At 42.1% G+C, this 13981-nt stretch overlaps 1 long non-coding RNA gene and 1 pseudogene across 14 annotated transcripts in view; one reads left to right on the top strand and one right to left on the bottom strand.

Moving 5' to 3' along the window:
- Positions 1 to 4112, bottom strand: part of LOC105371406 (uncharacterized) — a 45129-nt gene extending 41017 nt beyond the window's left edge. For all 4 annotated transcript variants that reach the window (XR_007066595.1, XR_007066596.1, XR_002958361.2 and 1 more), the window contains exons 1-2: positions 3196 to 4112; positions 1632 to 1694 (exon numbers count right to left, since the gene is read on the bottom strand). This is a non-coding gene — a long non-coding RNA (uncharacterized LOC105371406). The remainder of the gene's footprint in view (positions 1 to 1631; positions 1695 to 3195) is intronic.
- The window catches only part of PDE4DIPP7 (PDE4DIP pseudogene 7), a 29158-nt pseudogene that overhangs the window by 11108 nt on the left and 4069 nt on the right, over positions 1 to 13981 (top strand). For 5 of the 10 annotated variants that reach the window (XR_007066592.1, XR_007066588.1, XR_007066589.1 and 2 more), the window contains exons 3-6: positions 8114 to 8349; positions 9219 to 9343; positions 9446 to 9497; positions 10657 to 10844. The product of XR_007066592.1 is annotated as a PDE4DIP pseudogene 7, transcript variant X13 (transcript). The remainder of the gene's footprint in view (positions 1 to 8113; positions 8350 to 9218; positions 9344 to 9445; positions 9498 to 10656; positions 10845 to 13981) is intronic. The other 5 variants (XR_007066586.1, XR_007066584.1, XR_007066583.1 and 2 more) reach the window with 2 other exon arrangements.

Here is a 13981-nt window from a genome sequence, read left to right as displayed (position 1 = left end):
TATTTCACTTTGCATAATGTCCTCATGTTCATCTATGTTGTAGCATGTGTCAGAATTTCTTTTCTTTTTTAAGGCTGAATAATATTCCATTGCATGTATTTGCCACATTTTGTTTATTCATTTACCTGTTGTTGGACACTTGGGTTGTTTCCCTTCTTTAGCTATTGTAATACTGCTATTGATGTAGGTGCACAAATATCTCTTTGAATCCTTGCTTTCAGTTCTTTTGAGTATATATCCAGAAGTAAATTTGTTGGATCATGTGATAATTATTTTTAATATTTTGAGGAACCACCATATGGGTTTCCACAGTGGCTGTACCATTTTATTAGGTTGGTGCAAAAGTAATTGCGATTTTTGCCATTAAACATAATGACAAAAACCGCAGTTACTTTTGCACCAACCTAATAGATTCCAAACAACAGTGCACAGGGGTTTCAATTTTTCCACATCATCACCAACACTGATAATTTTCTTTCCTTCTTTTTAAAATAATAGCCATCTTGTAGGCCTTACTTTTAATTTCCATTTTGTCCTCGAAATCTTGGAGATTGAGCAAGAAGGAGGGAATGCGCATCTTAGTGAGATCTTCTTAGTTACCACCAAGCCTAATGGCTCAGAGCAAGGGTCTGGATGAGTCCTGGCTCTCACTCTCATAGAGATGATGGGACCTTGGAAAGGTAAGCTCAGCCTTTCAGTGCAATGTTCTCATCTGCAACAAGGGGTTGTAATAATCAACACTATCGGCTGCGCGGGGTGGCTCAGCCTGGAATTCCAGCACTTTGGGAGGCCAAGGTAGGTGGATCACCTGAGATCGGGAGTTTGAGACCAGCCTGACTGACATGGTGAAACCACCCTGCCTCTACTAAAAATGCAATAATTAGCTGGGCATGGTTGTGGGGCCTGTGATCCAGCTGTTCAGGAGGCTGAGGCAGGAGAATCGCTTGAACCCGGGAGGCAGAGGTTGCAGTGAGCTGAGATCACACCACTGCACTCCAGCCTGGATGACAGAGAGAGACTCCATCTCAAACAACAACAACAACAACAACAACAACAACAACCACCAAACAAAAAAATCAACACTATCTTGTAGGGTCGTTATGTGGACTAAATAGGTTACTACACAGTAAAGCACTTAGAAACAATGCCAGTCACATAATAATGCTCTTGAAACAGTTATTATTATTATTACTATTATTATTATGTCTTTGTTTTCATTTCTAACTGTACCAGTGAGAAATTTTAACATTCCCTAAAATAAATTAGAAATATTCAATGGTTTTTTTGACCTCTTCTCCCCATATTAGTGGCCAGGTGTCTGAAAAACTGGTTACTTGAAGTGTCTACTCAAAGTACAGATGTAGAATCCTACAGCAGGATTCTATCCTCCAACAGGATCTCTGTTAGTGCACCAGAGGACTGGATCCAACCTGATCAAATTCTTGGACCTTGGACAGGCCTGATTGTTTAGGTCATGGTAGACAATCTTTGGCACATGATTCTAGCAAGAGCCTTTAATACCCATTCAGACTTACGCAAGTATTACAAGAAAAATGCAAGTATATACTACCAATGGCCTCTTCTCTTTTTTTTGTTTTCTTCAGAAATCAAGGTAGGAAAATTTGATTTACCTGGAATTTGTAGAAGATTTCCTCTTTCAGTTACGATGGAGTTTTGTGGCAAACCAGCACTCCCTTCGAAAAGAAGTAGATAAAATCTGGTTTAAAGGAATTCTGTTTGAAGTCTTTGAAAAGCTAGGACCCACAGGGCCAGCTACAGAAAGCGGGTGGAGAGAGAGAGAGAGAAAGAAGATCATTGGAATGAAACAATTTTTCCCCCTCAGGGTATTTGCTAGTTCTTGGCAAGGGACAAGAGGCTGAGAAGCTGGGGAGAGGGCAGTGGTTAAAAACCAGAGAAAACAGCAGCACTTTAAGTAACCTCATGGGGGTGGGGAGTGGGTAGACGTGTGGAGCTGTCCAGGTATTTTGACTTGAAAAGCCAAGATTCTAGAATGAATTGAGATGTGAACTGAACACTTGGTAAAGGTTTTCCCCTCAAGGCATTTGTGAATTCAGCTCTGTGCTGGTGAGAGGCTAGCAGAGAGTGGCTGAAAGCAGTTTTCATTGGGAAGGATGCAAAGGAGACAGAAATCAAAATTCACTACCCTCCAAAAAAATGGCGCCTCTCAAATTGGGAGTCCTAGAGGTCTATAGCCTAGGAATGTGGGCAAACCAGATATAGACTGAGCCTTCCCATGAGTGCAAGCAAAGGTGGGTGGAATGGGAGTTTGGAAGGCTAAAATCAACCTCATATTAAATGAAATCCCTACACGTTGCTACTGCAAGGGAAAGGAAGCAAGTATCGCATTGGGATATATTATTTATTATGTATTAAAAGGTAATACAACATGAGGCTAAATTTATTAGTCAGACTTAAATGATTATTCTCCAGTTTTAGTCACTATATTCTTGAAAGAATGTAGGAAGTGAAAACCTGGAGAGTTCCTAAAAACGAAGAGTAAGAATCACTAGAAGTTAAAAAAAAATTCATTTAGGAAAAGCCACAAGAATTGTTTTTACTGAAATTGTCTTCAAGAAAATAAAAGCTGCTGAGAAAATGTTTTGATGTTTTCAAGGAGAGGTATACTTAGGTTATTTTGCTGTGGTTAGAAATTGGTTGACAACATAAGCAAAAGGGTAAAAAAGCTGGCTATTGAGGGGGTGGCCTCCCCTGTTATAGAGACCTCCAGGGTGAAATACGCAGCCTTGCATTGAGTGTGGCTATCAGAAGTCAGGGCTTCCTTGGGTTCTGTAGCTACTTCCACATTCTAATTCTGTGATTGTGACTCAAGAGCTGGCACCCTGAGTCTTCCCCATAGCACTATTGTTGATGTCCCAGTGACATGGGATTTGAGCTCTGGCATCTGAAAATGTGTTCCTGCCTTCATGACTCTCAAAACTTGTGGAAGCAAAATGCTTCCTGACCTCTGAAGGGACATTCCCTGGGAACTTCATAAGAACTTTATCTCAGCTATAAGAAACAAAAATACTCATCCCTTAGCTTAGTTTAAACCCCATTTGTTTTCATTCATTTATTGCCTGTTTTTTCTTCTAAACACCTGTGGGACCTCCCCTTCCTTCTCATAACAGCACCCACCCCGACCCCACCCCAGCACTTGCTGCATCTTTCTTTTACCCAGTGGATTGTTGGGTCCTCATGGCTGAGGAAGTTGTAGGCTTCACTCTACTTCCTGGTAGGCTCTGCTCTTGAGATTCTATCGTCCTACAGGATCTCCACTAATAATCTAACCTCTGTAAGCCATAATTTTGTTTCAATTGCTTTAGGTAGTTTTGGAGAAAAGCCTGGCCATTGTGAAGACATAGACATCTTTCTTCTCTGTCCTTCCTTTCAAAGACGGCTGTAAGAGAGCTCTTCATGAGAAAATGTCCCAGCAGAAGGCTGGGATGCATCAGCCCTCAGAGAAGAAGGGACCTGCTGAGAAGGGAGTGAATGAGCAGAAGCCTCGGGTTGAGGAAGAATTCTCTGTATCCTGCAGTGGGCAAGAGACTTCCCACTATCAGCATTAAGTCATTGCTCGTCAGAGTAGCTTTCAGGGCCTGCAGCCAGCCTCCATACCTTAATTGTAGGGCTTTCTCTTAATACCTTCCTGGAAATTTCTTCAGAGAAAAATCTATAAAAGTTTTATTAGTAATGACTTTATATTATTCAGAGAAATTTGGTTTTATTCTAACTAACATTGCATGTATTCACCAAATATATGGCCTTTGTGGTTACCTGAGCTGGAAATCTTCCAGTCATGTGAGTGGTCTCTCTTCTGGATCCCCAGGAGCATGTAGGAATCTCCTGTTTCTTCATATGTTACTCTGGTGAATGCTGAACTGTCCCAGTTCCCGAGGAGGTAGATTTATACAGAGGCCCCTCCATTCTACTCCATCCTCTATGGAAACTCAGGTCCCTGGCTTCTGGAATGGCAGTTTTGATAAGCTGAATTTTAAAAATAAGCTTGCAGAATTGTCAAATAGTGGCTTGTTGGCTAAATTTGTCAGTTTGTTTTTAATGGCCATTTTCCTATAGCTTTTTGGAAGCATTTAAATAATATGGGGTTAATCCATTACGCATTTGCCTGTGAGCGCCAGTTACTGAAATACTAAGTTACTGAAATCAGTAATTTGCCTAAGTGGTTGGTGCACAGCTTTGGAAGTGATTCAAATCCTGCTTCATGCTCCATTAGGTCACTGCCCAATATATTCCACTTAAATTTCACTGACCCAGAGAATAATGTTAGGGCTAAAATAACGCTAGGCCAGGCGCAGTGGCTCACGCCTGTAATCTCAGCACTTTGGGAGGCTGAGGTGGGCAGATCACTTGAGGTCAGGAATTGGAGACAGCCTGGCCAACATGGTGAAACCCCGTCTCTACTAAAAATACAAAAATTAGCTGGGCATGGTGGTGGGCACCTGTAATCCCAGCTACTTGGGAGGCTGAGGCAGGAGAATTGCTTGAACCTGGGAGGTGGAGATTGCAGTGAGCCAAGATAGCGCCACTGCACTTCAGCCTGGATGACAGAGCAAGATTCCATCTCAGACAAAACAAAACAAAACAAAACAAAACAAAACAAAACAAAACACCCAAAAAACTCTAGAGTCAGTTAGTCTCATTACCTCATTTTAGAACTGAGAACACTTAGGCCCTAAGAGATAGTCATTTGATCAAAGTTGCATAATAGCCTCTGGCAGAGATAACATTAGAATCCTGTGCTCTCGATTCACAAAGGCTACACTACACCCACTTCATCAAATATATTTTTAAAAATTATACTTCTGTGATCATTCTTTTTTTTAATGGACTTTTTAAGAGCAGCTTTAAGTTCACAGCAAAATTGAGTGGAAAGTAACAGAGAGTTCCCATATGCCCCCTACCCCTGCACGGACACAGCCTCCCTCACTATCAACATCTTGCCCCCGAGTGATAACATTTGGTACAACTGATGAACCTACATTGACTCATCATCACCCAAAGTCCACAGTTTACAGTGGGGTTCATTCTTGGTGGTGTATATTCTATAGATTTTGACACAAGTATAAATGTATAATGGCATGCATCCACCATTGTAATAAAGAATGACTATTCCCTGCCCTAAAAATTCTCTGTGCTCTGCCTATTCATTCTCCTTTCCCTCCTAACACCTGGCAACCACTGATCTTTTTACTGTCTCCACTGTTTTACCTATCCATAGTGTCATATAGTCAGAGTCATACAGTATGTAGCTTTTTTAGGTTGGCTTCTTTCACTTACACACTTAAGGTTCTTTCATGTCTTTTCATGGCTTCATAACTCATTTCTTTTTAGTACCAAATAATATTCCATTGACTGCATGTACCAAAATTTATCCATTCACCTACTGAAGGACATCTTGGTTGCTTCCAAGTTTTTGCAGTTATGAATAGAGCTGCTATAAACATCATGTGCAGGTTTTTGTGTGAACTTAAGTTTTCAGCTCGCTTGGGAAAATACTGAGGAGCAGATGGTTAGGTCATTTGGTAAGAGTATGTTTAGTTTCACAAGAAAATGCCAAACTGTCTTCCAAAGTGGCTGTACTATTTTGCATTCCCACCGGCAAGGAATGAGAATATCTGTTGTTCCACATCCTTACCAGCATTTGGTGTTATCAGTGTTCTGGATTTTGCCATTCTAATAGGTGTAGAGTGGTATCTTGTTGTTTTAATTTGCAATTCCCTAATGACATATGATGTTGAGCATCTTTTCATATTCTTATTTGCCATCATCTTTGGTGAGGTGTCTGTTCAGGGTTTTTTGCCCATTTTTTATTGTGTGGTTCATTTTCTTATTGTTGAGTTTAAGAGTTCTTTGTGTATTTGGCTTAATAGTCCTTTACCAGATATGTCTTTTGCAAATATTTTCACCCAGTGTGTTGTCTTCTCATTCTCTTGATGTGCCTTTTGCAGAGCAGAAGTTTTTAATTTTAATGAAGTCCAGATTATCAATTATTTCTTTTGTGGATCATGCCTTTTGTGTTATATCTGAAAAGTTATCATATAGCTGGGCTCGGTGGCTCACACCTGCAATCCCAGCACTTTGGAAGGCTGAGGCAAGAGGATCACTTGAGCCCAAGAGTTTGGCTGCAGTGAGCCATAATCACACCATGATCATGCCCAAGGAATGCTTCAGTGAGCCATGATCATGCCCTCCAACAAATAAATAAAATAATTAATTTATTTAGAGACTCTGTCTCTAAATTAAAATTGGTATTGCATTGAATCTTTAGATCAATAAATAAAATAAATAAAAAGTCATCACCAATCCCAAGGTCATCTAGATTTTCAGCTGTTGTTATCTTTTAGGGTTTTTTTTTTTAATCATTTTATGTTTTACATTTAGGCCTATGATCCATTTTGTGTAAGTTTTCATGAAGAATGTGAAGTCTGTGTCTAGATTCACTTTTTTTGCATGTGGATGTCCCGCTGTTCCAGCACCATTTTTTGAAAATACTATCTTTTCTCCATTGTATTGCCCTTGTCCCTTTGTCAAAGATCAATCTGCTATATTTTGGAGTCTTCTGGAATCTCTATTCTGTTCCGCTGACTTATTTGTCTATTCTTTCACAAATCTTATACTGTCCTGATTACTGTAGCTTTACAGTAAGTCTTGAAGTCAGGTCATATCAGCCCTCCGTTCCTTTTCAATATTGTGTTGGCCATTCTGGGTCTTTTGCCTCTCTATGTACACCTTAGCATCTATTAGTTGATATTCACAAAATTTATTTGCTGAGATTTTGATTGGTATTGCATTGAATCTTTAGATCAAGTTGGGAAGAACTGACATCTTGACAATATTTAGTCTTCCTGTCCATGAACACAGAATATCTCTCTGTGTATTTAGTGCTTCTTTGATCTCTCTCAACAGAGTTTTGCAGTTTTCCTCATACAGATCTTGTACATGTTTTGTTAGATTTTACCTTGACATAATCACTTACTAGTTCCAGGAGATTTTTGTTGTCAATTCTTTCAGATTTTCTTTTCTTTTCTTTTTGTTTTTGAGATGGAGTCTCACTGTGTCGCCCAGGTTGGAGTGTAGTGGCTCAATCTCGGCTCACTGCAAGCTTCGCCTCCTGGGTTCAAGCCATTCTCCTGCCTCAGCCTCCTGAGTAGCCTGGCTACTATTTTGTTTTTTTAGTAGAGACGGGGTTTCGCTGTGTTAGCCAGGATGGTCTCGATCTCCTGACCTCATGATCCGCCCACCTCGACCTCCCTAAGTGCTGGAGTTACGGGCATGAGCCACCGCGCCCGGCCTTTTTTTTTTTTTTTTTTTGAGTCAGTGTCTCACTTTGTCACTCAGGGTGGAGTGCAGAGTGGCACGATGTCATCTCACTGCAACCTTTGCTTCCCGGATTCAAGCAATTCTCCTTCCTCAGCCTCCCAAGTAGCTGGATTACAAGCGCATGCCACCACGCCCGGCTAATTTTTGTATTTTTTGTAAAGACGGGGTTTCACCATGTTGGAGATTTTCTATAATACAATAACTGCATCACGTGTGAACAAAGACAGTTTTAGTTCATCTTTTCTAATCTGTATACCATTTATTTCCTTTGCTTATCTTACTGCATTAGCTAGGATTTCCAGTATGATGGTGAAAAGAAGTGGTAAGTGGGGAAATTCTTGCCTTATTGTTGATGTTAGTGAGAAAGCTTCTAGTTTCTAGTATGACATTAGTGTAGAGTTTTTATAGATGTTCTTTATCAAGTTGAGGAAGGTCTCCTCTATTCCCACTTTGTTGAGAGTTTTTATGATGAATGAGTGTTGAATTTTGTCAAATGCTTTTTCTTCATCTATTAATATGATCAAGTGATTTTTCTTCTTTAGCAAGTGGCAGGGAAAATGACAATCTTAGAAGGGATTTTTCACATAAAGATTGTTTTCATTTCCTTCATTCCTTTTACCATATTCAGGACACTAAACATATGCTAGAATTCAGTGTGTGGCCTCCTTTGGTGATACTCTCAAGTTCCTTCTCCTAAATTGCTATAACCTATCAGTTATTCCTATCTACCTTTACTTCTTTTTTTCTACTTTAGGAAGTATCATTCCTTGATTCAGGATCAGGCTCAAGAGTTAACCCACCTACGGCAGAAGATGAAGCTTGGGAGAGTGGCCTCTGCTCTTCTCATCCAGCATGTCAAGAACACACTAAAGACCTTTGAGGAGCTACTCCAGAGCAATAACATTGACCACTATATGGAGCAGCACTACTGCGAGCAGCTGGCCAAAGGAAGCCAGCTGGCAGAGAGCCTTGCCAGAAAATTCAGCACAGGTAAGTTGGCCGCAGAGCTTAGGAAGATTTTCAGTCTCTCCCAAGGTCCTAAGTTCACAGGATCCCACCCCCATTCACATGTCACTTTTCAACCTGGTGTCCTGCTTTGTAATCACCACCTTAAGACCATGACAGAGTCAGGACTGGCTGGAGAGGAGCTCCAAGAAGAAGGGTTGAGGATGCCATGATGATCACCAGCACCTCCATCCCTCATGGAATATGACTGTTAGGGCAGGAGGCATCCCCAGAGATGATGGTATTCATCTGAAACTAATTGGCAGAAAGACAGAAGGAGCAGGGGCAGCTGGTTTTTGTGAAGGGCCCTGAACTGGGAATCCAAAAACCCTACCTCTAGCTTATATGTGTTCCTTACCAGCTCTGGACAGGTTAATATTTATTTTGATTTCTGTTTCTCTACCTAAAAAATTAAGTCAAATAATTCCAGCCCTTGAATGTTGCATGATTGTTCTAGGGATTAAATAAGTAACATTAATCGGCACACTTCAAAAAAATGATAAAGAATCATGCTGACTTTGGCATGGTTCAGGCACTGTGTGTACTAGTACACGGTGGTGAGATAATTAGCTGTTTCAGGAGCATTTTACATGAAATTCCCCCTTGAGAACCCAAGGGCCCATAGTAGCAGAAGGCTTGAGTTCACTGTGCTGTCTCCTGATGGTAGGTGGGACACGGATGTCTATCATCTCCTTGGAGAAGGGAGGAAGTTCTGCATGAAAGCTATGGTGGAACACACAGCCATGGGTTTGGGTGCTGGCCTTGTGCCAGGACTTGGAGGCTTTGGCTGGAGTGGATATGTGTTCCATGATATGTGGGAATAAAGACATTTTTAGCTTTTTGCTGTGACTCAGGGCAAAGCAAGTGGAGATGATGACCTTCATGGTGGGCTCAGGAAAGCCTGCCAGGCAAGCTCTCTAAAGACTCAACCCAAGATCTGAGAAAATTCAGAGTATCCTGGAATCAAGGCAAGCATCAGGTAGTCAAGTCTCTGGTCCCAGATAGACCTCCATGTTTGTTTGCAGTCTGGGAAATGAGACCTGCTTAAAGCATGACTGGCCTTTTTGAATTTTGTTCTCAGATGACTGTACAAGTAAGAAGAATCAAGTAGGACAGGTGTCTTCGACTCTCAGGTAACTCCAAATTTTCAGGGGCTGTCGAAGATGTAATCTGGTGAAGGATCCAGAAGCAAGAGCCAGAAGCTCAAAGAAACAGGAGCATACATGGCCAGTAAAAAACAAATAGCTTATTTATCCATTAAACCATTATGTATCCTTAGTGATAAGGCAGTCTCATTTTTAAAATTTTTTAAAAAATATATTATTCTTTTATTTTCACCAATTAATTCACCAATTTAGTAACATAGAGCTGCTCTAACCTATCCGGGTCTTAGGAGTCTTCTGAACCTCCAGGGATCACCTCTGGTTTCCCTTATTTAAAGACCAGAGTAAGATTATATCTGATTTCTTCAAGGGTGACCCAAGGAGTGCTGGAAGATGTAAAACAGCTACAAATTTTCCTTGCAAACAAAAGTTTATACTGTGTCTCTATACTTAGGGAAGGAGATCTAGAAACTGCAAGACACCAGTGAGGCTACATTGCCTGGGGAATCTGTTTTAAATGGCCTATAGCAAATACTATTTTAAAAATTATGTTCACAGAATGAGTTGAATTCTTTTTTTTTTAACATTTTTAAAATTTTATTTTTGAGATGAGGTCTTGCTCTGTTGCCCAGGCTGGAATGCAGTGGCACGATCACTGCTCACTGCATCCTTGACCTCCTGGGCTCAAGTGATCCTCCTCAGCCTCCTAAATAGTTGGGACTACAGGTGCACACCACCACACCCAGCTCATTTTTTATTTTTATTTTTTGTAGACAGAGGGTCTCACTATGTTTCTCAGTTTGGTCTTGAATTCCTGGACTCAAGCAATTCTCCTGCCTTGGCCTCCCAAATTGCTGGGATTACAGGCATGTACCGCCATGCCCATACCTGGAGTTGAACTCTTATGGGTCTCTGGGTGTTTTGTGAAGGAATCATGAGTGTTATTTAAGGGGCCCATTACGGCTTCGTTTTTCCTTAGGATGTTTGTAGCCAATGCACCGGACAACTGTTGCTCTCTCTGTCCCCGCCTTCCCTCCATACTCTATCCTGAAACAGAAATGATTTGTTTGGCTTCTCCTCTGAAGGAATGATCCTCTTGACCTCCCCTTTACATCTCCTGTGAGCCTCCAGATTAGTACAGCTGTGGCATTAGGTGACCTTTATTTTTTCTTCTTTCTTACCCCACTAGTATCTTGAGGAAGATGCATAATATGAGTAAAGTGACAGAAGTCCTAGAGACCAAGTGGGATGCCCAGTCCCAGACTCAGCCCCAGATCTGGTGCAGCAACCACACCCGGTCTACCCCACATCACTCCCTGAGCAGCACGTCTCCACAGCTTGACAAGGAGGAAGTGCATCCTTCAGTGACTGCAGTCAGTGAGTAGCCACATGGCTCCAGTTTTTGGGGCTCATGCATTGTCTAGGCCAAGAGGTGGCATCTTTGCAGCTGGGCCCTGTAGATCCACCGTGATGTACCTGGTCGGGCACAGCTCCAGGACTCAGTGCTGAGCATAAGCCCCAAGGCTTTCAGGTAGCTTTTCTCCATTCCCAGTCTCACATGTCATCAGTCACTAGATCCCCTCTGGCACATACATGGTGTTGGTCTTGGGGGGCATGGGTTGGGAAGGGGAGAAAGGGGGCAAATAGTTCCTCTTCACTGCACACAGTTATGTCATCTTTCAAACTAGGGACATGAGTGTTGCTAACATTGTGCACCTAATCCTGGAATCCCTGGGGTAAACAGCCACAGTTCCTATTTTTTGTTCATCACTAAATCATCTTTATCATTTATGCATTTACAGATCCCATCCATCATCCTAATAAGTTTGCTGTAACACCCTCTAAACTATCAGTGAATGGGGCCATGCTGTGAGGTTCAAGCTGAGTCCATCACCAACCAGCATGTCCCTCCTGAGAATTTCCCTGAGAGGGTCCTTGGGATAGCCTTGATAGAGACGGGAAGAGGAGATTAAGTTTGAAACCAGACTTTCATTTTTCTCCTGCTCAGTTTTCTCTTTAATTTTCCTCTTGAGAAAAGTGTTTGAAGTTTTAGGCCAGTATGAATCATATCCTAATGTGGACAATACCAAGAAATTATTTTTAGTCCCTGGCTGTATCTGGTGTTTTTTTCTAAATTGGCAATTTTAAGTAATGAGTGAGCCATAATGGTTTTTAGTTGTTGTTGTTGTTTTTGAGACGGAGTTTTGCTGTTGTCGCCCAGACTAGAGTGCAGTGGCACAATCTCAGCTTACTGCAACCTCTGCCTCCCGGGTTCAAGTGATTCTCCTACCTCAGCCTCCCAAGTAGCTGGGATTACAGGTGCTTGCCACCACACCAGGCTAATTTTTATATTTTTAGTAGAGATGGGGTTTGACCGTGTTGGCCAGGCTGGTCTCAAACTCCTGACCTCAGGTGATCCAACTGCCTCAGCCTCCCAAAGTGCTGGGCTTACAGGCATGAGCCACCATGCCCGGCCCATAATGTGTTTTGATCTGGTACTATTCCTGTTTCTCATTTCACAATGAGGAGCAAAGCGGCAAAAAGTTTCCTCTAAGATTATAGCAGCCAAGGAAAGACAGGAACTTCTCATTGATTGAGCACCTATTATGCTCACAATATTGACCACTATACATATATTTCCTCATTTAATTGACACAGTGATCCCCTCAAATAGGTAGTGGTGTTCTGCTTTTATAGTGGAGGACACTGAGGCTCAGCAAAGTTAAGGAACTTACTGAAGACAAAGCAGCTTGGGGTAACGTACACTTTGAGTCTACCTGACTCAAAGCTCAGGTTGTGAGCATTTCACTCTGCAGCCTGAGAAGTCAGGGGCTGCGTACAAAGGGTGCTCACTCCTTCTCAGCACCTCTTTTGCTAGGCTTCTGGAGCCAGGGTTTTTCTCATTCCACTTTTTCTGCTCTGTGCACCCAGCAGAGTTCTGGCCTCTGAACATGGGACAAGACCTTACACATATTACACTTCTATCTAAGAATTTGTAAATAGATGAGCTGCCCTTGATATGTACATCACCTATTCCAAGGGGCCAATGGGACTTTTATGTGCATCCTTGATTCAGTTGCCCAGAGGCACTTGTTTCAACCTCAGCACTGCCCCAAGAGATGGCAGAAGGGCAAGCCCATGCTTCCCTTACCTGCAATCCCTGCCACTGCCTGCAGTGAGGTGTGGCCTCTGGAATGATGCTTCTGGAGAGCACCAGCTTTACTTTTTGCCACAACTGTCTTTCCTGAGGGAGATCGAAGCCCTTCTCTTTCCCACTTGAAGTCACTGTCCTTTCACAGGGGCAACTGTTTATCACCACTTCCTCTTTGGTTTTTGAACCAAAATTTCTAGAACAGTCAACCTGTAGTGCACTGGCATGACAGCTACATTGTGAGGCCAAATTTCCTTCACAAAAGTCTAGTCTCTGTTGCTTTCCATCTGCAGTGTAGGGCATGTTCCCCGTGTGGTATGGCCAGGGAACGTTAAAACACTGATCACTGTTACTGATAAAACTTAGAGCTTCCTATGGCCATGGTTGAGAGTAAACTGATTTTCTGAGATAAAGGAGGTTTGAAAGGGGGTGGTAATCACATTTTGATTGAGTTCCTACTTTAAGTCAGGCATTTATTAAAGACTTAACATAGTTGTCGTTACTCTTTATCTCACAGTGATTCTAATTAGTATCTGATATTTTATAAATTGGAGAAGGAGAGACCTACTGGATACTGATTTAAATATACAGTTCCTAAAAGAACGTGATGTTGTTGAGGGCAAACAGAAACCTCACTCCCACCTGCTCAGAGGAGAAACTTGTCTATTCTTTAGCCCTTGATAATAATCCTTGAAAGGGAAAGACTCTAAAACTTTTCTCTGAATTATGGCCCTGCCACCCCAGCTGGGTTTTTCTCTCAAAGGGAGACAGTGATGAAGGGCCCAGAGGATCTGGCCATGTTCTCATGGCATCATTGAGCTGTAAGATGCCATGTATTTTGTGATTCTACAATCCTCTATGCAAGAGTACACTAGCTATTCTATGGACAGGAGCCAGACAATGTGAGCTGTACTTAAGAATTATTTTTGCAGTGTCAAAAGCCATTCTAGGTGGAATCCAAATCACCACTTGCCTTAGACAGACACCCCCTCAGCTTCACTGCAGGTCCAGAGTCAGCCGAGGCCAGAGAGAGAACCACCAGGAGTGGAAGCAACACTCTCTAGGTTCTCTGCACATTGTCCAGAATTGGAGGCCATTTTCTCCTCCTCCTCCAACAGCCTCAGTGTAGAACAATCCCAGGAAGGAGTAGCTGGTGTGTTTCTGGCAAGGGCATAGAATGTTGAATAAATAGTCACCTGTTTACAGACCAACAAAATGCTTCACCCCTCACTGTCTGAACTCCTAGGATTGGCTGTGAGTCCTGCTATTAGGAGAAACATTTCTGAAGTACCTCCCCAGGATCATTCCAGCATTGGGAATCATAAAGGGAGCTAGGAGAGGGGCCCCATATTTTTCCTGTATG

The sequence above is a fragment of the Homo sapiens genome, chromosome 1, assembly GCF_000001405.40.
Source record: "Homo sapiens chromosome 1, GRCh38.p14 Primary Assembly".
Lineage (NCBI taxonomy): Eukaryota > Metazoa > Chordata > Mammalia > Primates > Hominidae > Homo > Homo sapiens.
Note: the sequence above shows the minus strand (reverse complement) of the source record. Positions and strands in the feature narration are given on the sequence as shown.